At 39.8% G+C, this 27,173-nt stretch overlaps 1 protein-coding gene across 3 annotated transcripts in view; it reads right to left on the reverse strand.

Moving 5' to 3' along the window:
* LOC124904395 (uncharacterized) overlaps positions 1–27,173 on the reverse strand; it is an 81,309-nt gene that overhangs the window by 5,904 nt on the left and 48,232 nt on the right. For 2 of the 3 annotated variants that reach the window (XM_047438030.1, XM_047438029.1), the window contains exons 2-3: positions 20,282–20,337; positions 14,953–15,104 (exon numbers count right to left, since the gene is read on the reverse strand). In XM_047438030.1, coding sequence (XP_047293986.1) covers positions 14,953–15,104; positions 20,282–20,337 — 208 coding nt within the window. Of the gene's footprint in view, positions 1–6,800; positions 13,408–14,952; positions 15,105–20,281; positions 20,338–27,173 lie in introns of those variants that run through there. The other variant, XM_047438028.1, reaches the window with a different exon arrangement.

Genomic DNA, 27,173 nt, shown 5'->3' on the forward strand with positions numbered 1-27,173 from the left:
GCCTTTAAAAAACCCAGCTTGACATTTGCTTCATCATATTCAGACCCCCCAGCTAGCTCATATAATGTATGTACTTGAAAACATATTAATTGTTTACCAATCTTTCTCCTAAAAATAAAGCTTCACTAACAAAAAATGATTAATCTTCTTAATGGACACATTCTTTTCAAATATAATCAAACTTCCACAATTTTAACTGTACTAATTTGATATCTGTGGATAATTCTTACCTTTACCTTCCTTGAAAATAAAAATATTTTAAAAATAAGTTAATACGGCAAATAGAAAAACAGAAGAGTAGTGCTTTAAGTAACCCTTGACACTTTACATCAATTTACACATAGACAATAAATATGATCACTATTATACATATTTATCTAGGGTGGGTAGCGTGGAACTGTGAAAAGAGCAATAGCTTTGAACCATGAAGACCAACGTTCAAATCCCGGCTCTCCTTTTTTCTCATTGGGTCATTTTGGGGAAACTACTTAATAGTTAAGTATAGGAAGACAGTCAGAAGACTGGGATCTGGGCAGGATACTAAGAAGGTTGCAACTGTATCTGTAATGGTAACTTTTGTTTTTTCACCTGAGGAAAATAAACTAAAAATAATGTTTTCTAACATTTAGATATTCAACACATGGACAAGTGTTTAATTATTCTTTGTATATTCCTGTTGTTTGTAAAACAGCTTATAATTTTTAAAACTATTTTAAAGGGAATGAAAGTAGGAATTACAGGGAGGCAGTTATCAATTAGATATAAGGATGAATTCTCTAGTAGAGTTAGATGTAATAAAGATATTGCCACACTCTATCCATATGTTTATACATCAAATTTTTACTGAGTACATACATCATGAGACAAAATAAACTTCCTGTCACAAAAGGTGCTTGACCAAAACTCAAGAATCACCTTTCAGGGATACTGTTAAAAGTGTTCCCACATCAGCTAGGAGTTAGCTCTAGAGGGCTTTTAAGATCTTTGGCCATCCCGAAATTCTATGCTTGAAACACGTTTTCTCATAGAAACGCTCCTACCAAAGGCCAGTGAGAGAACTATCACTTTGTGAAGAATTTCAGAATGCCCACTAGCTCTCCTGTAGCCCTAAAAGGTAATGAGAGTCTACCTGTTCAGACTGAGAGCTCCGGCTGCCTTGTGCTACAGAAGCAGTAAGTGCATGTAAAGGACGCCATATTTCTAAGACAAAAGCAGTAACAATGACTCAAGGATGATGCCTAATAGACGATTTAACCTATAACTTTGCTAATTGTCATATTTTCAAAACAGCCCTATGGGAAGGGTACACAAATGTCTGGGGAGTATTTCCTGCTTTTTAGCACCCAGGGAACTACAACCAGGAGCCCAGCTTATTTTGGATTGGGGATGGGGATAGACAAGAAGAGATGGGGCAGGGAGAAGAGACGGCTGGTTTATTTTACATACACATATTTTATTTATAATACATCTCTGTGTCTAGGCGTCTCTATGCTGTTCTCATAAAATCTGAATTATACAAATAAAAGTTTAATTCCTGGCTGTTTTGAATGACTTGGGCCTGTATTACAAAATTAATCAGATACAATTATACTATCTTCACAACAACAATCATCTACATTGGTTTTGACAATGTACAAAGTACTTCCATGTGTATTATTTCGTTTATCTTTACCACAACCTTTGAAGTAGGAAGACATGATGATCCCCATTTTACTGCCTAGGACAGAGAGACATCAGGAGGTTAACTGACTTGTTCACTGAGAAAGCGGAGGAGCACAGACTATAACTCCAACAGTTTGACCCCATACTGCATACGCATCAGGGCCTTAATCATGAGACTGTATGACCCTTCTGAGCCTGGGATTCACTTGCAACTGGGTATTCCCTCTTCTACCTCAGGCCCCCTATACCTTTTCAAAAAGTGTCCTTCACTGTAAATAATCTTCCTGGTGGTGACCCTAAAGGATCTGACAACCTGGATCTACGTAAAAAAAAAAAAAAAAAATTGTTTTCTTCATTTTCAAGATGAATAAACTAAAGTTGGCTCTCAAAGGGTTAAACAAAGAGTTACCATGTGGCCTAGCAATTCCTTTCCTAGTTATATACCCAAGAAAATTGAAAACATATGGCCACACGAAATCTTATATACAAATGTTCATAGCAGCATTACTCATAATAGCCAAAATTGGAAGTATTTCAAATGTCCTTCAACTGATGAATGGATAAACAAAATTTAGCATATCCAAATCATAGAATATTACTCAGCCATAAAAAGGAATGAAGTACTGATACATGCTACAACACAAATGACCTTGACAGCATTATACGATAATGTGAAAGAAGCCAGACACAAAAGGTCACATACTGTATAATTCCATTTACATGAAATGTCCAGAATAGGCAAATCCAGGCAGAAAGTAGATTAGTGGTTTCCAGGAACCAGGGAGAGGGAAACTGGGAAGTGAGTGTTAATGAGTATGAGGTTTCCTATTGGAGTGAGAAACACGTACTGGAATTAGACAGTGGTGATGGTTGCACAACTCTGAATATACTAAAATCATAGAATTGTAAGATTTCAGAAGATGAGCTGTATAGCGTGTTAATCGTTTGAATAAAGCTTTGTTTTTAAAAGAAGACAAAGAAATAAACCAAAGCTGAGAGAAGTAACTAACCCAATCCTTTATCTTTTATAAGAGTTTTTTTAATGATAAAGACTCAGTTAAAGTCCAATTTGATTCAGTTCAGTTAAAGCTAAATGGCTTAGAATGAATCATGTCTAAATATTCTGTATACCAATCCTACCTATATTATAGGGCCCTAAAAGAAGGGTCAGACGAAGTATGCTCTAAGTGGCTCTCAGTACTGAATATTCACAGATTAAGTTTTACAAAAAGGTAAAGTTTTGTGATAACCCTCAGATAAAACAGAAACATATGACCTATGTTTTGACATAAAACATACGTATTTGGCCTGTTCTGAAAAATATGTATAATTTTCACACACCACATTCTACCAAGGAAAATGTCAACCGGAGCCAACCAACTTGGTGTTCCACTCATCAACTCTTTTATGCCAACATGGTGTTTCTGCCCTTGTCTCAGAAGCCAACTACTGATACCTGCTTCAGAAAACTGACTATGAATTCCACAAAGTCCTGCTTTTTTCTTTTGGATTGTACAATCAACAAACAAGTCACCCTTCTAAAACTCTGTTTCTGAAATTTTAACATAATTCCTGAAGTTCCAGAGTCTCTTAAATGCTAAAATATTAACAATACCATTCCATTTTTTCCCCTAACACTCAGAAGCATACTGATACCCATCCTGTACACAGCCTTTTCTTGCCTGATAACAAGAGCACTAATGACAGAGCTATTGCATCAGGTTGATTAATAAACCCCGTCTTAGGCAGCCTCATCATGTGGATAAAGAAAAGGAGTTAAGATGATGTTCCTGCTGCCTTCCCCAACATAGAAACACACCCACAACACCCCCAATCCTGGAATAACCAGATGTTATCTTCATCATCACACTAGAGCACTGTAAACCACATCAAAACAAAACGAAACAAATAACAACTTCCCTGGCCACCAAAAATAGATGGCCCAGCCAGAAATAGTGCTGCCAGAGGCAGTTAAATGAGCTGCAAGGCAGGAATGACAGTTGAGCTGCAGTGATGCTGGGGCCTCCCAAGGATTACCGGACTCCAAACTAGATTCTCCATCACTTTGGTCCAATCAACATCAGCAGGACTTGGTATTTGTTCACAATTGGTTCAACTCAGATTATTTGCTGAGCTTCTGGAATTCAGAGAGAGTGACTTATGGGCTCACCTTTTTCTCTAGATTTTAAATAATCCTTTCTCCATTTTTTTCTAGGAGTGAAGGCAATTTTGAAGGCATGACTACGACCTGCTCTGGCCACAAGAGCTAAGAGTTGCCAGGTGTTGTGGCTCAAACACTTTGAGATGCCAATCCCAACACTTTGAGAGGCCAAGGCAGGAGGATTGCTTGAGGCTAGGAGCTTGAAACCAGCCTGGGCAACACAGCGAGACCCCATCTCTACAAAAAATAAAAAAACAGGCCAGGCGCAGTGGCACTTAGGGAGGCCAAGGTGGGTGGATCACCTGAGGTCAGGAGTTCGAGACCAGCCTGACCAACATGGAGAAACCCCGTCTCTACAAAAAATACAAAGTTTGCCAGTGTGGTGGCACATGCCTGTTATCCCAGCTACTCAGGAGGCTGAGGCAGGAGAATCGCTTGAACCCGAAAGGCAGAGGTTGCAGTGAGTGGAGATCATGCCATTGCACTCCAGCCTGCGCAACAAGAGTGAAACTCCATCTCAAATAAATAAATAAAATAAAGTTTTAAAAAGTCAAAATTATCCAGGCGTGATGGTATGTTCTTGTAGTCCCAGCTACTCAGGAAGCTGAGGTGGGGGATCACTTGAATCCGGGAGGTCGAGGCTGCAGTGAGCCAAGATTGTGCCACTGCACTCAAGTCTGGATGACAGAGCAAGACCATGTCTAAAAAAAAAAAAAAACAAAACAAAACCAAAAACCAAGAGTCCACAGTGATACCATGAATGCCCATGGCTGCAACAATAATGCCTTGACCAGAAGTAGGGGGATAAGGGAAAAGATAGAGCCAACATGAACCCCGATTGACCCTCCCTTGCTCCATCCATGACAGAAAGCCTCCTATTTCTGAATTCACCAGGCTCATGCTGCCTCCAGGACTTTGCATGGGTAGCAGCATTAGCCTAGAATTTCACTTCTCTTTAATTCCCACCCATCTCTCACTTAACTAATCCCAACTCACCCATAAGGATCTAAGTCAGATATTACCTACTAAAAGAAACCTATCTGGCCCTAATGCCTGGGCAAGGGCTTCTCCTGAATGCTTCCACAGCACTGCGGACCTACTCTTATTGTGGCCCATTTCACAGTATATTGGGATTATCTGTTTGACTCTCTCCCCAGTAGATCTGGAGTTCCTTAACAACAGGAAGAATCTTCTTTACTTTTCTTCCAAAAACAGAAATCGCTTTACTGTTTTTTGTTTGTGTTGCTGTTGCTTCAGTGGTCATAAAAGTACTACATGTGCCTGTCTGTTCCAGTTGTTCTCTTTCTCAGTGGAGGGCATAACCTAGTAGTTGACCAAGCAAGAAAACTTGACATCATTTATTCGTTCAAAACAAACAAAAAAGAAGAAAAGAAAAGGGCATGCCTACTATGTACCAGGCATTATGCTAATCACTGTATCTAGAAGTGAAAAGACAACCACTGTCCCTGCTATAGTGAGCTCATGTTCTAACAGAAAAGGCAGACTTTGAACAAATAACTCACGTTATTGAAGAGAGAGGTGAAGGTAGTCTGGAAGTTTACGACAAGGTGACAGTGGGTAGGATGTGAGTGAAGAGATGAATTGGTGATCAGTCGTCTTTGGGTTTCTTCAGCCTCACTGGTTCTACATCCAGTCAATGGCTTAGCTCTATCAATTCTGCCTCTGAAATTTCTTTCACCTGTCCATTTCTCTAATTTTTATACTGGCATCTCCACCAACCTTTGCCTGGAATACTGCAACTGTTTTCTCTGCCTCTAGACTACTCCTCCTATGCAGAGGCCATAAGGAAGCCAAAAGGATCTTTCTAAGAGGAAAATCTGATCATGTCACCTCTCTGTCTAAAAGCTTTCAGCAGTTCCCTTGAGCTCAGATAAAATTTAAAAGCCTTTACATAACTTGCAAGACTCTGTATGATGACTCCTCTCTCTTTTCTCTGGTTTCAGTTCTCTGCATTCCTTACATCCCATTCTCTAGGAATACTGACTATGGTTCTTTCTCTCATCGGGATCTTGATTCAAGCTATTTCCTATGCATGGAACATTCTTCATTCTCACACTACCACCCCCTTATTAGTGGCTACTTCTTATTCCTTCTTCAGGACCCTGGTTAGATGCAGTTTCCTCTAGGAAACTTTCCCTGAATCCCCCAATCTCTTCAGATTGAGTAAGTGCCCAGTTATATATTCCATAGCACTCTTTACTTCTATTACAATAATAATTACATTCTGTTGGAATTTGCTAATCTGTAGACTCTATGAAGGCAGGAACCATGTTTGCCTATTCAATATTGTATCTGCAATGCTTAAGGTATGCTGCACATAGTAAAAGCACTAGAATATTTTTTCAATGAATAGATAATTAAAATAAATATAATACTCAGTTATAAAGAAGGCAATAGGCTAATTCCATCATCCAGACATAATCAATATCAATGTTTTGGTATGTATCCTTCCAGACATTTCCATCTTTTCTCCCTCAAAAATGAGATCTTATTTTTTGTAATATTCAGTCAAATTGTTGTTGCCGTTGTTTTGTTTAATCTTAAATTTGTTATAATGGACATCCTCCCAAGTCAGTACATTGCTCTATAATGTTCTATTGTATATATATTCCACACTTGAAATAATCCTCACCTTGAGTACTAATATTGTATTGGTATAGAGAATACTGAAATATAAACACTCATCCTTGAACATACATTTTCTTTTTTTTGTTTTTTTTGAGACGGAGTCTAGCTCTGTCACCCAGGCTGGAGTACAGTGGCAATCTCGGCTCACTGCAACCTCTGCCTCCTGGGTTCAAGCGATTCTCCTGCCTCAGCCTCCTGAGTAGCTGGGATTACAGGTGTGCACCACCACACCTGGCTAATTTTTGTATTTTTAGGAGAGACAGGGTTTTACCATGTTGGCCAGGCTGGTCTCGAACTCCTGACCTCAGGTGATCCGCCTGCCTCAGCCTCCTAAAGTGCTGGAATTACAGGCGTGAGCCGCCACGCCCGGCCGAAAATACATATTTTCATACATTCATTCTTGATCATTGTGCAACTAACAGCTAGAACATGGCCTGGCACACACGATGCACTCATAAATGGATGAGTGGATTAACAAACAAATGAATAAGGGGGTCAGCTATCAGTAAGCATAATAAAATTGTGGCTAAGAGTTTAGGCACTAGAACCAGTACACTTATGTCCAAATCCCAGCTCCAGCACTTGCCATCAATTACTAGTGTTTTCCTAGCTTCAGTGTCTCTCTACAAACAAAGACAATGGTTGTACCAACCTCAAAAGACTATTAGGAGAACTGAATAAGATAATAAGGTCAAGTGCATTCTCAGAACTTGGCACACTGTAAGCACTTACAAATATTAATTGGTATCATGATCTTTGTTGCTATTTTTTAAATTTAGTATTGGAATGGAAATTATCATTAGAATGGAAACTTTGCAAAGTCCACAGAAAGAAAGATAGGGCTTCTCTTCGAACAACGGGAGAAGAGAAGAAAACAAGTTTTAATGAGGAGACAGAAAGGAGATAATTTAAAATTACGAAAAGAATTATTCTAATTCAAGTGCTACATTCTCTGTGAAAGTGGTTGCTCTCTTTTCTGTGTTGGTAATCATACCTTTCAGAATGTTCAGGGTTGTCCAACTTTTGTAATTTCATTCTTTTTGATAAAGTTTCTTTATTAATTGCATGACCAAATGTAAGCTAATATTTACAACTTTGAAAAGTTTACACACGCACACGCGCGTGCACAAATTAGAAAAAATGTTCTATCCCAGTATTTAAGATTTATTTATTTATTTGAGACAGAGTCTCACTTTGTCGCCCAGGCTGGAGTGCAGTGGCTCGATCTCGGCTTACTGCAACCTCTGCCCTCTGGGTTCAAGCGCTTCTCCTCCCTCAGCCTCCTGAGTAACTGGGATTACAGGCATGTGCCACCATGCCTAGCTAATTTTTGTATTTTTAATGGAGATGGGGTTTCACCATGTTAGCCAGGCTAGTCTCGAACTCCTGACCTCAGGTATTCGCTCACCTCAGCCTCCCAAAGTGCTGCAATTATAGGCATGATCACCACACCTCGCCATATTTAAGTTTTAAAAACATACATTAGTTTGGCAAGTACTCCCATCTTGAAATATCTCTTTCAATATTGCCTTAGATGTTATTTAAATTAAATCTTGTATAATTTAAATTTTTTTATGCCCCAATCAGATTGTACATTCTTTGAGAATGGAATCTCATGTCCATCTTTGTATATTCTACAGCACTCAGAAGCATTCCTTTTACTCTGTAGTTCTATAAGAAAAAAAGTAATTGATTTGATTCATATCTTTGGTAATGTTGCTTAGGAAAGAAAACTTTGCATGGAAAGTCTGTGGAATGCCTGTGTGTGGAAGCCTTCTGTTTCCCTTTTTAAACATGAGATTGAAAAGGGAAAACAAACTGCACTTGTGATTGCTGAAAGTTTAATATTTACCCCCTGCCTCCTAGTAACTTTTTGAATGTCTTAAGATACCAGTGAAAACAAAACCAGTATGTTTGGGACACTGTGGTTTGGAAGAATGAATGCATTTTTTTTAAATAAAAATGCACTTCACTAGTAGTATTCATTTTCCAAGGCTGTAATTAGAGAGAAACACTCGAGAAGCACCAAAATTGTGGAACATAAAGAGGGCAGTGACAGGACCCCAATTAACCTAAATTAGCACAGGTTACCCAGACTGTGATAACTCAGAGCTCCAGAAACTCCCCAAAATGAAAAAGCCTTCTGCTTTTAGCACTTTTTTTTTTCTTTTTTCTCCCCAAAGACTTCAAGATTCAAGTGGAAAAGTTCACCAGGATGGGTGGGACCTGAACAGGCTGACTCACTGCGGTTAGATTCAGACTGCCAAGGAAAGCTGCAGAGTACAGTTAGGCATACACTACAGCTGGTTTTGATGATATTTTCTTGTTAAAGACAACATTATTAGAAAAATGTGTAAACAGGACAGGGCAGTGGAGGCCCCCTCTTGATTTTATAGCCAAAGACTCCCACCCTTCCGTGGCTTTTCTGTACCGTCTGCCATGTTGATTCTATGTAAAAAACCCAAATGCAGGCATTCCACCAATGTAATGCTCTCCTTCTCTGAGAGTCCTTTCATTTCCCCAAGAGCTTTGGAATCATTGGAGTTACAGTGGTTCCGTTACTTTATTCTTATATAACTTTGGGCAAGTTATTTGAACCTTGATCTCTTCACTAGTATAATGGTTGTAAAAATAATATCTATCTCATAAGTTAGGAAAATGAACTGAAAATACACTAAATTAAATATGTCAAATATCTAGAAAAGTACCTGGTGCATAATGAGCACTCAAATAGTATTTATTGTTATTAGCTACTATTGTGATCTTCTTAATAAATCCTGTCAAATATTATTTCAAAAAGACTCTTTCTCTCCCGTCCTTTTCATTTTTAGTTTTATCATTCCATTTAAAGTGGAAAAGAGGCCAGGCGCGTAGTTCGCGCCTGAAATTCCAGCACTTTGGGAGGCCAAGGAGGGTGGACCACTTGAGGCCAGGATTTGGAGACCAGCCTGACCAACATAGCGGAACTCCATCTCTACTAAAAATGCAAAACATTAGCCGGGTGTGGTGGCGGGAGCCTGTAGTCCCAGCTACTCAGGCAGGAGAACTGCTTGAATCCAGGAGGCAGAGGCTGCAGTGAGCTGAGATTGCACCACTGCACTCCAGCCTGGGTGACACAGCAAGACTCCTTCTCAAAAAAAATGAACAATAAAAAAATAAAGTGGAAAAGAAATGTACATTTCTTGACTTCCTAGTTTCCCATCCTACCCAATCAACTAACACACCAATACCCTCCTTAAAACTATTCAACTTATTGTGAATACCAGGTAGAGGCAGAAGAGATACAAATCCAATAGGATATCTAATTTTTAATACTTTTCAGCTAGTTTAGTTGATGAATATTTACTGAGCACTTACTATGTACTACATTATGCTATATTCTAGAGACTAGAAAAGAATGGGCAAGAGGTGTTTTCTGCCCTCAAGGAGCTTAGAGTCTTGGTATATATTCTGGGATTAGAGAGTAAGAGAAGGCATCCTAAAATTAAAAAATAAATAAATTTAAAAAGGCACCTGAGCTGAATCTTGAAGGATGAGTAAACTTTAACCAAATAAACAATAGGAGAGAAAAGGTTTTCAAGGCAGAGGGAACAGCAGGTACAAATAAATGAAAGTATGAAACAGCTTTGAATTGCAAGCAGTTCAGAATTAATAGAGTAAAAATCATGTAATAGAGAATACTGGAAGACAAAAGTGGATTTACAGTTTACCTAGAGAGGCAGGAATCTGGTAGGATTTCAATCTGCATCAATCTAAATAGGAGGAACTAGTGATTCCATTTCCAAATAAGCCAACACCTTCATTAGCACCAAACTTTCACCAGCTGAGTTCCCCAACATAGGACATGCCCACTATCTTTAGGTCACAAAGACATCAGGTGTTTTCAGGCTCAATCATGAGTTATTGGACAAGTTCCTTTGTTATTCTTTTTGCCATTAGTTCATCATTTGTAAACTGGAATAATAATCATGGCTTTTCTTTTTTTTATTATATTTGAAGTTCTGGGATACATGTGCAGAACGTGCAGGTTTGTTGCACAGTATACGTGTGCCATGTTGGTTTGCCACACCCATCAACCCGTCATCTATATTAGGTATTTCTCCTAATATTATCCCTCACCTTGCCCCACAGCCCCTGACAGGCCCCTGTGCGTGATGATCCCCTCCCTGTGTCCATGTGTTCTCATTAGTCAACTCCCATTTATGTGTGAGAACATAGGGTGTTTGGTTTTCTGTTCCTGTGTTAGTTTGCTGAGAATGATGGTTTCCAGCTTCATCCACGTCCCTGCAAAGGACATGAACTCATTCTTTTTTTATGGCTGCATAGTATTCCATGGCGTATATGTGCCACATTTTCTTTATCCATTCTAACATTAATGGGCATTTGGGTTGGTTCCAAGTCTTTGCCATTGTTAATAGTGCTGCAATAAACATACGTGTGCATGTGTCTTTATAGTAGAATGATTTATAATCCTTTGGGTATATACCCAGTAATGGGATTGCTGGGTCAAATGGCATTTCTAGTTCTAGATCCTTGAAGAATTGTCACACTGTCTTTTACAATGGTTGAACTAATTTACACTCCCACCAGCAGTGTAAAAGCGTTCCTATGTCTCCACATCCTCTCCAGCACCTGTTGTTTCCTGATTTTTAATGATCGCCATTCTAACTGGTGAACATGCCTTTTCACAAGGTTGTTGTAAATGAGATCATGCTGTCACATACTTAGAGCAATATCTGCCACATAGAAAGTGATCATCAAATGCTAGCCAGTATTATGTATGTGCTGCTGAAGTCTTGCTCATTCCAGAGATGCTGCAGCTGGGTGCTGTGATCAGCGAGAAAGCATAGGGCAAGGGATTTTTCTCAACACATCATTGTGACCATTTGTAGGTAAAATTTATTTCTGATCCAATAATGTGTTCAGATTTATGATCATGGTACATAAACTTATGGCCCTGAAAAAGTCACAATTTCCGTGAGTCCTGGTTCCCTCACTTAAAAAATGGGGAGAGTGATGCTTGTTCCGTGTCTTATAAAGACAAAATAAAACAACTTATGAGATACACTTAACCCACTGCTCAATACACTAAACCCACTGCTCAATACACTAAACCCACAGAGAATCCCTTCATCAGTGGATTCTCTGAGTGGGGAAAAGCGCCTACATAACGAAGTTGGTAAGGTTGGGAAATTAATTAAATCACTCACTCATTCAAAAATACAAATGAAGCATATATGCTAAGCAATGCCCTCCTTTCATCATGGAGTGTAATACCTATTGACCTCAACCTGACAAACATACAATTGGAGTTTGTATACACATACAACCATGCTGTTGGTTGTGGGTGGAGAATGAAAGAAAAGAAACACTGTTGTATGTTGGAAATGTTGCTTTCTTTGTCCCTTTTTTCTACACCAACATAAATGATAATTGTCACTTTCGCTTGTTAATTGACTAATTATGTTTTGGTTCCATAATGTGCCAGTATTTGCATTTTTAGTCTGTTATCTCTTTCCCTGTAATCAAAGAGCCTTTTTTCTCTAGAATTTCCTACATCAGCAAACATTTTAGAGGTAACTGCATTACTGAACAATTATAATTACTTTTGACAGATTGAGTACTTTTAGTATTACTTCTCTCCTGTTCTAACTCTCTTTTTCTTACCTCTCTATAGTCCAGTCTCTTATTTGAACATATCTCTCTTCCTTCCCCCAAATCTCCCCTCTGTCTGGAATATTATACTCTACTTCCCTGACTAGTAAAATCTAACTCAGCTTTGGAGACCTTGCTCAACGTGAAGCCCCCAGGAGAAATGTCCTCTGGTAAGAGGCCTTTCCCTACTCCTTTAATAAAAGTAGACATTTTCTCTCAAGATCTCAGAGTGTACTGTCCTTATCTCTATGAAAGCACTTGCCATGCTATATTGTATTTAATGCAATGTCTGTACTTCCAAATAGACTATAACTATCTAAGGGCAGGAACTAAAGTATCTCATTTAATGTGATCATGTGTTTGTTGCATGGATAAATGAAATAAGAAGGGATTCCTGGCTGCTTCTTCCAGGCCTGTCTCCCTTTGTCTTTAAGCCCTGGAGGAGTCGACCCTACTTTGGCAAAAAACATTTAGCATGTCCCCTCCTCTCTCTGAGTACTGCTACCTATCCTATATCCCAAGGCTACCAAATGCATATTTTAAACTTTACAGAAAATACCATGTTATTTAGTATTTTACCATTTTTAGGGTAGGGCATAGGAATGTGTTCCTATCTCTCCTGTATTTTTTCTAACCAATGTTTTCTCTAATTTTTAAACCCTTTCATGGAGGCGTTTTGTATTTTAGGTGCTGTCATTCAGAGTCCACAGGATGGATGAACGGATATGAAAATGAACAAACGTGTGACACAACACTGCATGATTTACCGGCAATGACTTTCTGATCAAGCCTGAAGTGGGTTGTAGCCTCTTTATTTACTTTTTATTTGACACATAGCAGAGAGAGATTTAAACTATCTCTTATTGGCCTTTTCCCTGCGTCTTAGCTTGGTTTCTGTCAGTGTTTCCCAGCATCGAGAAATAAGGACTAATCTGTCATATTAGATCTAAACTCTAAAAGAAAAGGACTTTGGGCCTTATATCTGCCACCCATTCTTTCAATGGAGGTGACACCCCTCATTTCTATATTTCCAGTCATCTCTCAATGAAAAGGAACATGCAGGCTGGCTGGCCTTTGGAGAGCACCCCACACAGTTTTGAGGAGCTCTGCAGCTCTGCTTGCCCTTTCTGCATCACAGCAGATCCAAAAGGTGAAAAAAAAAAAACAAAAAAAGGAGGGGGTTGGGGTGTTAGCATCCTTGCTTCCCCCACCAGCACCACACAGCTGTTCGGAGGTTTAGTCTTCAAAAGCCTCTTGATTACCATGCAAACTCTCCATGTCTTAAAAAAAACATACACACAGTATACATGAGAATGCTAAGCATAAAATTTGAAGAATAGGCTGTTAATTCTTAGGCACACGTTATATGGTGCATATTCTTTGCCCACAGAAATATCTGGTAGGATGTACAGAAAGTATTGGTGAAATATTTCTACTTACAAATTGAGGGAAGATGGGGTAAACCCATGTCAACACAAAATTTTTTGAGATTAGAATTTTACTTTTTTTTTTTCTGTCAAAAGTTATCAATTCCAATTCCAGAATGAGAGAAACCCCAGTATCTCACAGACTATTTACACATTATTTATGTGGGACCTGCTTGCTGGGTATCCCTGAGGGGGCACCAAAGAGCTATTTCTTTCTTCCTTTTTTTTTTTTTTTTTTTTTTTAGAGCACAAGAGTATAAGAAATTCCGGCTGCCTGTTTCTGGGCTATTTAAATCCCAGTAGACATGCTCTCTTGTACAGACTTCCTGGGCTCAACCCAGCTCACAGGGAGCTGGGGAATCTGTATTACATTATCAGTTATTGTTTTTGGTCAAATCTAAGGACAAACATATGAAGAAGCAGAGCATGCAGCACTGGTTCAGGAGGTTCAAGCAACATTATCAGATTCTTGTTGAGAAACAAATGGTTGTTACTGTGCCACCCCACACTGCAGACAATTCCTAGATATCGAGAGAGGTCCAAGCTAGCAACAGAGAATTTAATACTAGCTGCTGGACCGGGACTCCTGGGCTCACTATGTTGCAGCTACAGATTCTCAGAATGCCATTTAAACTTCCTGAGTTTATCTGAGAAGTAAACCAAGGGTGTAGGTGATGAGGCAGCATTTACTGGTACAGTTAGTCCCCCCTTATCCACAGTTTTGCTTTCCATGGTGTCAGTTACCCACAGTCAACCACAGTCTGAAAATGTTAAATAGAAAATTCTAGAAATGAACAACTCATAAATTTTAAATTGCACATTGTTCTGAGCAGCATGATGAAATCTCGTGCCATCCACTCTATCTCACCCTTGAATCATCCCTTTGTCCAGCACATCCAGGCTGTATATATCGCCCACCAGTTAGTCACTCAGTACTGTCTGGGTTATCAGATTGTTGCAGTATCACAGCGCTTGTGTTCCAGTAACTCCTATTTTACTTAACAATGTAAAAGTGCAAGAGTAGTAATGCTGGTATATTGTTATAATTGTTCTATGTTATTATTAACTACTGTTAGCCTCATTAACATTTAATTTATAAATTAAACTTTATCCTAAGTATGTATGTATAGAAAAAGACATAGTAAATATAGGGTTCAGTACTATGCAGTTTGAGGCATCCAAAGGAGGGACTGCTGTACAGGCAAGGGTCCATAACCACACCCCCCAGCACACAGCTGACAGAGCATATGTTTATTGGGACATGCTCTTGAAAGAGACACCATAATGATAATACCATCCATAATCCGGACCAATCCATGGGTCATATTTTTATCAGGCATCACTATTCCATAGTACTGCTTCTAATTGGGATAACAATTATCCACTCACATGACTTACCTTCTCAAAGTCTCGAAGAGCCTGGGTCTGTACCTGAGGGGGTTTCTCAAATGCTCTCAAGGAATATGTCTGCACAAACGGGACCTTTTCACCACTTCTCCAGATCTGTGACTGCACTGGAGGGCCTCGATCTTTAGTGTCACTAAGAAAAGCTGTCAATGAAACAGAACAACAAAAAAAAAGGTTTATATAATAACAGCACTAGGATCATTCTAACTGGCACATTCCAGCAGAATTCAGTTTCTGCAAAATACAAACTCAATCTAGGCCACATAGAAACAGTTTACTTAAAGTAGTCTGTGGTAGATCATATTAATAGCCATCCCCAGTGAATCAAACTAGTTTGGGTCCATAGGCCTTTGCAATGTGATACTCCTGCCATTAAGAAGTAGAGCCTATTTCCCCAACTCTTGAATCTGGGTTGGCAAAGTGGCTTGCCTTGACTGGCAGAATATGATATAAATGCTACTGTATGAGTTCCAGAGACTAGCTTTGAGAGGCCTTGCATTTCTGCTCTTGCCTTATTAGCATCCCAAGACAACCATGCTGTGAAGAAGTCGGTCTACCCCACTGGAGAAGGAAAGGCTGTTCAGGGAAGTGAAGATGCCCCAGCTGACAGCCACCACCTGCCAGACATGTGAGCAAGGCTGTCTGAGACCTTCAGTCTCAGTCAAGCCATCAGAAAGTTGCAGCCAGTTGAGTGATCCCAAGTGAGACCAGCAGCGATAATGCCCAGTTTGCCAAAACAGAATTGTGAGAAATAATAAATCATTGTTGTTTTAAGCCAGGTGTGGGCAGACATTTTCTTAAAGGACCAGACAGTGTTTTAGGCTTGTGGGTCATATCATCTCTGGCACAGGTACTCAACTCTACCCTGTAACACAGAGCAGACACAGACCATGTGTAAATGCATGAGTGTCACTGTGTGGCTATAAATCTTTACTTATAAAAACTGACTGTTGGCCCATGGGCTGTAGTTTGCTGCTGACCCCTGTTTTAAGTCACTAAGTTTTGGGATGGTTTGTCACATAACAAAAGGTAACCAAAACAGTCTAAAGGAAAGAACCAAGCTGCTAGCAAACTATCTCTACCGATAATTTTTCAGGTTACTATTTAGTAATAGTAACAATTATAACAGCCAACATATTTAAAGGGCATTACATGTTACAAAATAGTTTCACATGAATTATTTCATTTATGAAGTCGCTGCAATCAGTGAAATAGACATAAGTGATTATTAAGTCCATTTTACTGATGAATAAGTAAAGATTCAGAAAGTTTGCTTGACCAAGATCACATTGCTAAAAAGTGGCAGAACCAATCCCATCTTTTCTCCATCTGTCTTTCTTAGCAGTATGCTACTACTGTGTTATTTTAGCAATTAAAGGGATTGCAATAGGTCTGAGAGTGGGGAAAACAGGTAAAGAGGCAGAGACTCAATCACTCCATTAACCAATGGAAGCATTGCTTTGGGAGAACCTAGTGGAGTCTAAGCTGTAATTAACCCTATGCTTGCTTTTGAGAAGTAACATTGTTAAAGAATGAGAAAGCAAAGCCTCTGTCAAACAAAGTACACAGAGGACCTCATGTTGGGGCAGGGTTGGAGTTACAGACAGGTAGAAAACATAGAAAGCTACATACTTTCTTGGCTGACAGAAGGAAATAATGAACTTTTATTATGGAACTATTTTTTAAATAAGAAGACAGTCATGGCAAAGCATTAAGCGCTACAGACAGTGTCAGGGCAAGTAAGAGCAAAACAGGTACTGGGTGACTGCCTGGCTGAGGAAAAGTTAACTAGACACTTGGGGAAAGGAGATCCAAGGGAGTAAGAGGCAAAATGCCTTTGCATGCTTTTCTTCCTATCTCTTTTTCTTTCTCTCCTTCTCACTCTCTCCCTTCCTTCCTTTCTTCCTTTCTCTTTCTTTTTTTTTTCTCTTTTCCCCCACCTCTCTGCCTGCCTCCTTCCCTCCCCTCCCCTCCCTTCCCCCTCCCTCCCTCCCTCCCTCCCTCCCTTCCTTCCTTCCTTCCTTCCTTCCTTCCTTCCTTCCTTCCTTCCTTCCTTCCTTCCCTCCCTCCTCTCTCCCTCCTTCCCTGCCTTCTTTCCTTCGTTCTGCCAACTTGCCAGAAGGAGCCCAAGAAAAAGCACCCAGATGCTTCAGTCAACTTCTTAGAATTCTTCTTTTTTTTATGTTCAGAAAAGATGGAAATTCATTTCTGCTAAAGAGAAAGAAAAAATTGGAAGACAGGGTGAAGGTGAACAGGCCCATTATAAGAAAGAAACAAAAATCTATATTCTGTCTACAAGGAAACGAGAGAGAGAAAGAGAGAGAAGAAAGAAGTTCCAGGATTCTAATGTACCAAAGGGATCTCCTTTTTCTTGTTTTGTTCTGAAAATTTCACCAAAAGAGCACAGGAGAACATCTTGGCTAATTCATTGGCGATGATGTAAGAAAACTGAGAGAAATGAAAGAAATGAAGAATTACTGCTGCAGATAATATACAGCCTTGAGGAAAGAAAGGCTTTTAAGATTATAGATATAAAGGCTATTGCTGTATTCTGGGATAAAAGAAAGTCTGATGCAGGGAAAGGGGAAGTTGGAAAAACTGGAAAAAGAAAAAAGAAGAAAAGAAAAAAAGGACTGGAAAGACATTGGTGAATAGAAAGATGAAAAGGGTGAAGAAAAAAATGATGATGGTCAATAGGGTGGTTTTAAAAGAGGCTTTTGTTTTATTAATTTGTTTTTGTGTGAGTGTGTGTGTATGTGTTTGTTTTTTGCCTAAAAGTATTTAACTCCGCATTACACCACTGATTTCAAAGAAAAAAAGCTGAAATGTAAGATCATATGATTTGTTTTTAAACTGAACACTGTATACTGTCTTTTTATTTTTGCAAAATTAATGTAGTATCCAGTGTGTCTTTAGATAACCCTGTCCTTAATGATATTTTCAATAGCCACTAACCTTGCCTGGTACTGTTTCGGGGTTTAAACTAGAACAGAAATTTAAGGCAGGCTTTATTAGTGCATAGTACAAATCAATTACATATATATGGAGATATTATTTTTCCCTCTTCAATTGTTTTTCGTGCAGCTTACCCAATATAATTGTTCTGTTAGTTGTACACTACTCTGTGATAGCAAATAATAATAATAAAATAATTATGATGATATTGCCCCTGTTTTGGTGATATTCTGAATGTTTATACGTAAATGCAAAATTTTTAATTAAAAGTAATTAGAGGCTGGGCATGGTGGCTCACACCTGTAATCCCAGTTTTTTGGGTGGTTGAGGCAGGTGGATCACTTGAGGTCAGGAGCTCAAGACCAGCCTGGCCAACATGGCGAAACCCCATCTCTACCAAAACTACAAAAATTAGCCAGGCGTGGTGGCAAGCGCATGTAATCCCAGCTACTCGGGAGGCTGAGGCAGGAGAATTGCTTGAACCTGGGAGGCGGAGGTTGCAGTGAGCCGAGACGGCACCACTGCACTCCAGCCTGGGTGACAGAGCAAGACTCTGTCTCAAAAATAAATAAATAAATAAATAAATGTAATTAGAAAAAATGATTTCTTCCACATTTAGGTGAAATTAAATATACTACTAAGGGGAAGATAATCTGATAAAACAGAATAACAATACATTACAGTTAGATTGGTGGATATGATAGAAAGAGCAATGCCTTGAGGCTTGGATTTGAATCCTGACCACTTGCTAATTGTGGGAATTTAGGCAAATCTCTTAATTTTGCTGATATATTGCCTCTGTAAAACAGGGGTAATAATATCTGCTTTATAGAACTGTTATATGGATTAAATAAAATAATAAAAGCACCTTGCCACATGTATTATATGTAGTAAGCATTTTATCCATTCCCCTCACATTTTTGCCCTAGTCCTTCAATTTTTGCCTCAAAATGTAGAATATTGACATTTAAAATGTTGAGCACAGTAACCCTTGGAATTTGTGGATTTAACACACATTTCAAATACTAATTTTAAGTGACTCTGAAATTCTTAACTTATTCAAATTAAAAACTTTTTTCCAAATTGTGCATATAAACAATCTGTGCTTCCAGGCTGTTATGAAAAAGGCAAAGAACTTAGCAAGGAAGTAAAACCCTCAGGTCGAGAACAAGTTTTGTGGAAAATAGACCCCAAAAGAATGTTATCTTCCCTTTGGTTTTGCAATTCAGGTAGATCTCTGGCTAATGTTAGTGTAGTAATAATTGTGCTGTTGTTAGGAATACATTAATAGTGACAATAGATAAGATACAGAGTGCTTATTCCTTGATAGCCTCTGTACTAAAAGCTTTTCTCAATCTCACCTATGAGATTAACATTATTATTATACCCATTTTATTTATTTATTATTTTATTATTATTTAATTTTTTTTGAGACTGAGTCTGCTCTATCACCCAGGCTGGAGTACAGTGCCACGATCTCAGCTCACTGCAACCTCTGCCTTCCGGGTTCAAGAGATTATCCTGCCTCAGCCTCCTGTGTAGCTGGGATTACAGGCGTGGGCCACCATGCCTAGCTAATTTTTGTATTTTTGGTAGAGATGGGGTTTCACCATGTTGGCTAGCCTGGTCTTGAACTCCTGACCTCAGGTGATACGCCCGCCTCAGCCTCCTAAAGTGCTGGGATTACAGGCGTGAGACACCATGCCCGGCCTATTATACCCATTTTAATGGTGTATTAAGATAAAGATTTCATTTTAGTAACATAATTTATTTTAATCATTGTACAAGTGAGTTTAGCCTTGCAATTACAGAATCGTTAAAAGTATGAAGAATTCACATAAGTATCTGTAATGATTTACTGTACTATGCTGCTTCTCAGTACATAGAATTATAGCTAGCTTATAATTCTCGTGTGAAATTGCTACAGTAGTATGTGCAAATTTGGAAATTCACAAAAGTTTGAAGATATTGCCATGATGAATTTAAAGAGGCCATAATTCAAGAGAATTAAGATCAATAGAAAACCAAGAATTGGCCAAGTGCCAATTTCTCTCACACACTTTGGAAAGCTGGAGTGGGTGTATTGCTTCAGGTCAGACATTCAAAACCAGCCTGAGCAATATAGCAAGACTCCCACCTCTAAAAAAAAATATTAAAAATTAGGCATATGTCTATAGTCCCAGCTACTCAGGAGGCTGAGGTGAAAGGATAGCTTGACCCCAGGAGTTTGAGGTTGCAGTGAGCTATGATCACACCACTGCACTACATCCATAGTGAGAGAGTGAGACCCTGTCTCAAAAGAAAACCAAATGAATAAACAAAAGAAACAAAGAATTTAACAAGGCAAGGCCCACAGCATCCTTACCTGCTGTGTGACTCGTTCTGGGTACCATCTCCCCATCATCCTCTGCAAAATAATCTCTGTGGAGGCAAACACATCATTAATTAATGAGATACTACCCCACAAGGCTCCCATCCCAGGGATCGAGGAGAAGACACCTACCTATTTGTCATTTCTATTTATCTCTCTGCAAGTATTTACTAAGCTTCTATTATGTATCAGGGACCGTGTCAAGTGCTAGGGATACAAAGGCAAACACCACAGAAGAGTTCCTATTCTCAATAAGTACATGAGAGCCAGCCATTAAATAATTTCACAAGAATTAACTACTATTGTAGTAAATGTTGTGAAGGAAAATGCAGAGGGAACTTAACTAGCACAGGGACTCAGAGAAACTCAGGGAAAGGAACATTTAAACGTAGATGGGAGGATGTCAACCAGGTGTAGAATGGGAGAATGGGAGTGGAAGAGTGTTCCATCATGAGAGAACAGCAAAGGCCCTGAGTCAGAAAGGACTCTGGCCTGTTAGAGGAACAAAGAAAGCCAATGTTGCAACCAGGCCACGCAGGACCTTGTGGTATGGGGTAAGGCCACTGAGTCTAATGTGAAAAGCTACGGGAAATCAATGAAGGATTTTAAATTAAGGAAAGAATGGCAATGATCAGATTTATATTTTAGATAGGTCATTCCAGCTGCATTCTGGCTCTACACAGTGAGACTGTGGAGGGGCAAAAATGGATGGTGAGAATCTATATTCCAAATAGGAAGTTGTGATGGTTTAACAAAGGGGAAATTTTAAAAATTTAAGATATGTTTAGAAAGTAGAATTGACACAGAAACCTTGAAAAACAGACAAAGTTTATGAGTGGAAATGTTAATAACACCATGATTCAGTAGCAAGAGGTGTATCTGTTCAGCATAGTAAATACCACCATCCCTAGCAGAGAGGGGACAGTATCTCAAAATGTATTCAACAAATACTTCTCAAGCCCATGCTCAACAAGTGCTTTTAGGCACTGTTGTAAGCTCCACAAATGTAGCAGTGAGCAAAACAGACAAAAATCCCTGCACTCATGGAATTTTTACAGTAAGGGGAGACAAATAAATTGTATAGTAGCAGTTGGGAACAAGTGCTATAAAAAAAAGGAAAGTGGGGAATGTGGATAGGGAGAGCTGGAGGTAGGAGGAGGTAGAGGGGATTGCAATTTTCAGTAGACAAGGCTGCTCTATGAAGCCATAAGGACAGGCATGGGGGTCTCTAGGGAAAGAGTCTTCTAAGCAGAGAACATAAAATGCAAAGGCCCATAAGAGGGAGCATGCTAGTTAGTGGCTGGGTGCAGTGAGCACGTGGTGAGCAGTAGGAGGTGAGGTCAGGGAAGTAATGGGAAGACTGGGCAGGGGGCGCAGACTGTTTGAAGCCTTTCAAGACATGGAGAGGCATTTAGCCACTAGAGTCTTGTGAATCAAAAAGAAAGACGGACTCAGTGACTAATGTTTTAAAGGGGGACTGTCTACTGTCTTGACAACTGACTGTCTGATGGGGATGTCAGAAACAGATGATTTCAATAACCCTACAGAAAGATGCTTTCAATAGGTAGCTTATTCTTTAAACTCTTGGGGGCTCCCAAGAATTCTGTAAACAGAGATGTAGAGGACTTCTCTCTTTCTCTCTTTTTTTTTTTTTTTTTGAGACAGAGTTTTGCTTTTGTTGCCCAGGCTGGAGTGCATGGCACGATCTCGGCTCACCACAACCTCCGCCTCCCAGGTTCAAGCGATTCTCCTGCCCCAGCCTCCCCAGTAGCTGGGATTACAGGTGCCTGCCACCATGCCCGGCTAATTTTGTATTTTTAGTAGAGGCGGGGTTTCTCCGTGTTGGTCAGGCTGGTCTCGAACTCCTGACCTCAGGTGATCCGCCCGCCTCGGCCTCCCAAAGTGCAGAGGTTACAGGCATGAGCCACTGCGCCCAGCCTACAGGACTTCTCTTTTTAAAAGCCAGAAGATATTCACAGGGAGGCAGAGGAGGACCTGGCATTTGCTTGGAAATTGGTGGTTTTTTCTTCCCTGCCTCAGGGCTGGATCTTGGCAGAAATCTTCACTTTGTTAAGTCCCAGATGGACATGAAAATACCAGACAGGGCACATCGGGCTACACATGCCACCTGACAATTATTTCGTATCCAAAAGTAGATCACCAGCTTGTGATTCTTCCAGGCCCCCTGCCTCTTTCCCTTCTCCTCCTTAAAAGCTTTCCCTGAGAGTAAACAATGCCAAAGAGGAATGTACTACGTATGCACTCCCCTCTGTGGAGGTAAAATAGGAGAAGGATGTCAAAACCATCAACCAGAACAATGTCTTAAAAAAATCTGTGGGGAAAAAATTTATACTTAGCTGCTGCTATTCACTGAGCATTTCTGCCTAGTCCACAGACAAAGGTGGCTGCATCTGCTGTCAGGAGCAAGGTCAACCCTCAGGCCAAATTCAGCCCATCCGACATGTTTTATTTAGCCCACACAAGTTTGACCCACTTCTAACTGCTCTTGGGAAATGAGTGGGTCTGCCAACACTGGGCCTGCCTTCCCACACAGCGGGAGAACTTGCCCCCTTTACACAGGACAGGGATGTGTTTTCCAGTTTGCCACAGTCCCTGCCACTCCCTGTCCTTGTCGTCCCTCATTCACTTAATTATGATACTTGCCTGGCATCTTGCAGGTTTCTGATGCTGTTACCCCAGTATAGACCAAGTGCAGACAGAATTTCATTTCTGCTTTATTAAGGCACAGTCTTGAGAAACCCATTGGCTTCACACACAATTAATTAATTTGTGGCAACAAGCTACTATATTGGCTTGCATGTCACTTTCACCTCTCTGGGCATTAGTTTTCTCTAATATTTATAAAAGAAGGACATGACTTTCTAAGGTTCCTTGCAGTAATTATGCAGTTCTATTCTAATAGATGCTTAAGCATAAAACCCATTTTAATACTGTCCAAGGATCCAGGATACCTTCCAGACATGATCTCACTCAATCTTCTCTGCTCTGCAGATTGCACATTATAGGTCAAGAGCAAGCTACAACACAGCAATACATATCAGCCCTACCAGACACCTCACCCTTCCCGCATCACCCACACCCACTCTGAGCACACTGCCTGCCTGATATGAATCAATAACTGGAAGGATAGAGAGGTCACTTTAGATGGGTACTGAGTTAATAAGCATACTCGCAGTGTCTCAGGAGATTTTTAAGAAATCACTTTAGCTCTATTAACAGCTCAAGTTCCCTCTCTTATTGCCAGAGAAAGGGGCTCACTCAGCTGCTCCACAAGTTACAAAGGAATCTGACGCTCCCCAAGGGAAGGGGCTCAGACTGAAGAAACACAGAGTATAAGTCTAAGGGGTTGCAATTTGTGACAACATTTGATAAACCAAAGTGCAAGGAGAATTGGGGTATGGTAGAGACAGACTCCAAGCATGGACACACACACACACACACACATACACACACACACACACACACACACACACACACAAAGTGGTAATATATGTTGGTACATTCTTTCGTATTACCCAAGTTCAGAAAAAAATTTTATATCCTTGTCCTAGTTTCTCAAATTCAAGTGTCTCTAGTTTTTTAAAATATCAATTCATGAATGACTCATGCTCAGCTAATATGTGGTTCACCAGGCCACTTTTAGCTCTCCTGCATTTCCATATATAATCTTTCTCCCATGATGCTTTCACTTAACATTTTGCTTTTTCTGTATAAATGAACTATATTTTTCCTCAATGTCTTACCTTGTCTTTCTCCCTACGTCATCAATCTGCTAACGACAATACCAATTCCACTAAAACCACATATATTAATATTCTCACCAGGACATTATTTTGCTTTCGGAAGTACCAAGCATTTTCCAAGTACAACCTACTCACAAGCTGTTCACCTGCTTGATTTCTGCATGGTATATCACTCATATTTTCTTGAGTTGCTGATAAGTAGCTATTAAGATATTAGACTCAAATAACACATCAACATTCAATATCCCATATTACTTGGTTTTTCTATGGCTTTCCAGGGTGATTAAGTTGAGAATGATCAGGAAATAATTGCTTCTCTGAAGGCCATCTGCCACCCCCTGATATTCTGACATTCTCAAACTGTCCTGTGATGATTTCTTCCAGTAATTTTCTAAGAATGGTAGTTTCATTTATGGCCAGGGTTATCCAAAACACTCAGTTTTGCTTTACTTGAAACTGGCCACTGATATAGCTCCTTTCAAGATTCAAGCATCTCATTGGTCCCACTAGTCTAGTTTCTCATAACATTGTGGGGAGGGGTAGACACTTGGGTTTCTTCTTGCTTAGGAGCCTGCAGAGAGAGATATTTTCTATAAGGCAGGTATAGACCTTTCTCCGTAAACTGTTATTTCTGGTATTATTTTCTTGTATTTTAGTCTGTCTAATTTGTGGACTGAGAGGAACAACAGATCATATGAATGAATCATCTCATTCAAAAGCAATGACAAGATGGTAATCATCATTACAAAGCAGGTTCTATGAGTCTTTGAACAGTATGAGATATTTGTATTCTAGGACCAAAATCACCACTAAAACTATTTCTAAGGTACTGATGCCTGTCTAGGCTCCATACTTTCTTCTCTCCAGTCTCACCTACTAAAATAATTAACCTAAGGTTATTTATTCCCATATGAGTGTCTAAACTCCCAAAGGAATGGTGATTTTCAGGCCCTCTCTTCAGGCCAATCACAGGTATTTAGTTTGTTCTGAGAACCACATAGTCTGGCCCTCCTACTTCATCACTAACCACCACCCTTGCTTAACATTTCTAAGCCTGAAGACCAGGGCCATCTCCCAGAGGCGTTTTCTAGCTTTCAAGCTTCTTTATATATATATATATATTTTATTATTATGAACAAAAATTCAGAAGGAGAAAAAACAATCTGCTATAGCAATACCTAGAGCGAAAACCTGGGCCTTCATTGCTATTTTTAGGGTTTTTATAATTCCATTTTGTAAACATTTATTGAGAAGTTGCTTATATGCCAGGTACTGGAAATACAAAGGTGAAAAAGTATATATACCCTGTGGTTAAAGTACTCAGAATCTATTGAGGGAAGCAGGCACATGATTCAGAGAGATAATTATTAGAAAAATTAGATTTAACAGAGATTTCAGAACATAAATAAGATAGCAATTAATTTTGTCCTGGTGGGGAGTGGGCTGGGACAGGGTGGTTGGCGGAGGGGTCTAGGACATTTACAGAAAACAGATAACACTGAATCTAGGTCTTAAAGGATGGGTGTAAATACACAAGGAAACATAACAAAGACCCAATTATAGGAAAATGAACGGTGTGTTCAGGGGGCTTTCATTTTGTTTTCCCCTTCCCAACCACCCCGCTCCATCTTCCCCCCACCCTGAGGAGCCCTGAACTGCCTCCTAGGACATCTTCCAACTTCCTGTTTACCTTTCCCCCTCCTCAAGCCTTCCTCCCCAAGCGCTCACCCTCAGGTGGGAATATGAAGGGAAGCCAAGGGTGAAATTGTTTCTTCATTTGCACCTCCCTCCTCAAACACTATAGCTTAGAAGCCCCCAAAATGATTTAAAATAATGTCAGCAAGAAAGGGGCTAAGATGGCCGGGCGCGGTGGCTCACGCCTGTAATCCCAGCACTTTGGGAGGCCGAGGCGGGTGGATCATGAGGTCAGGATATCGAGACCATTCTGGCTAACAAGGTGAAACCCCGTCTCTACTAAAAATACAAAAAATTAGCCGGGCGCGGTGGCGGGCGCCTGTAGTCCCAGCTACTCGGGAGGCTGAGGCAGGAGAATGGCGTGAACCCGGGAAGCGGAGCTTGCAGTGAGCCGAGATTGCGCCACTGCAGTCCGCAGTCCGGCCTGGGCGACAGAGCGAGACTCCGTCTCAAAAAAAAAAAAAAAAAAAAGAAAGGGGCTAAGATTTGCACTATTGTGAAAATACCCATAGAAACAAACTAGAAAAGAACCCAGAGAAATGAAAAGTCCGGAGGTTTAGAGTGGCGGAAAATATACTGAGCATCCTCCCCCTTTTTTTCTTACTATTTTTGCCAAAAGGCTAATTCTTATTTTTAAAAAGTTTGAATAATCTATTTTTATTGAATTTACATTGCTCTTCCTAATTAATGACCTTGATAAAAGATAACTATGGAAAGGATTCGGCTCGGTGTGGCCTCTCAAACAGTGAGGGGCGTGTGGCATGACAGCAAGACTGCTGAAGTTTGCTCTTTCTTGGGGTCCTCACAGGAGTAGGCATTGAACCAAATGCAGATTGTGTTCCAATTCCCATATTCTTGGAGCTCATTTAACAAGAGTTGCTGGTTTCTGTTTCAAATGAAATAAATTTTTCAAACGTTCCAAGATGCATTTTTCCTATTTTTAATTTACAGCTATATTCAACTGTGGCAAACACAAAAGGGTCAGAATGAGAAGAACTGTGGCCTATTTTTTAATATGGGAAGCTCTGGCCCTGACAGTTTATAAATGGTAAGATTTTAGAAATAGTGTCAACTTAAAAACAAAGACATCTACAGTTAACAATTTCTGGACTGCTGGTGCATAATTTTATAATTCCACAGGTTTTCTTGCACTGGAATTTTCCTCAATACTAATCTCGTATTAAATGAACATATTATTATCATGGACAACCATCACCACTCACCACCAATGCTGCCTCTGCAATTTACTGAATGCCTGATACTTTCTAGGCATCAGTTCATTCAGTCATCATAGAATCCTGTGAAGTACGTCATACAATCCCTGTTTACAGATGAGGAAACAAGGGGCCTGGAAGGATAAAGTAATTTGCCCAAGATCGCACAGCTAGTTGGTGTCAGAGCCTGAACTTGAAAACTGTCTATTTGAC

The sequence above is a fragment of the Homo sapiens genome, chromosome 1 (assembly GCF_000001405.40).
Source record: "Homo sapiens chromosome 1, GRCh38.p14 Primary Assembly".
NCBI lineage: Eukaryota > Metazoa > Chordata > Mammalia > Primates > Hominidae > Homo > Homo sapiens.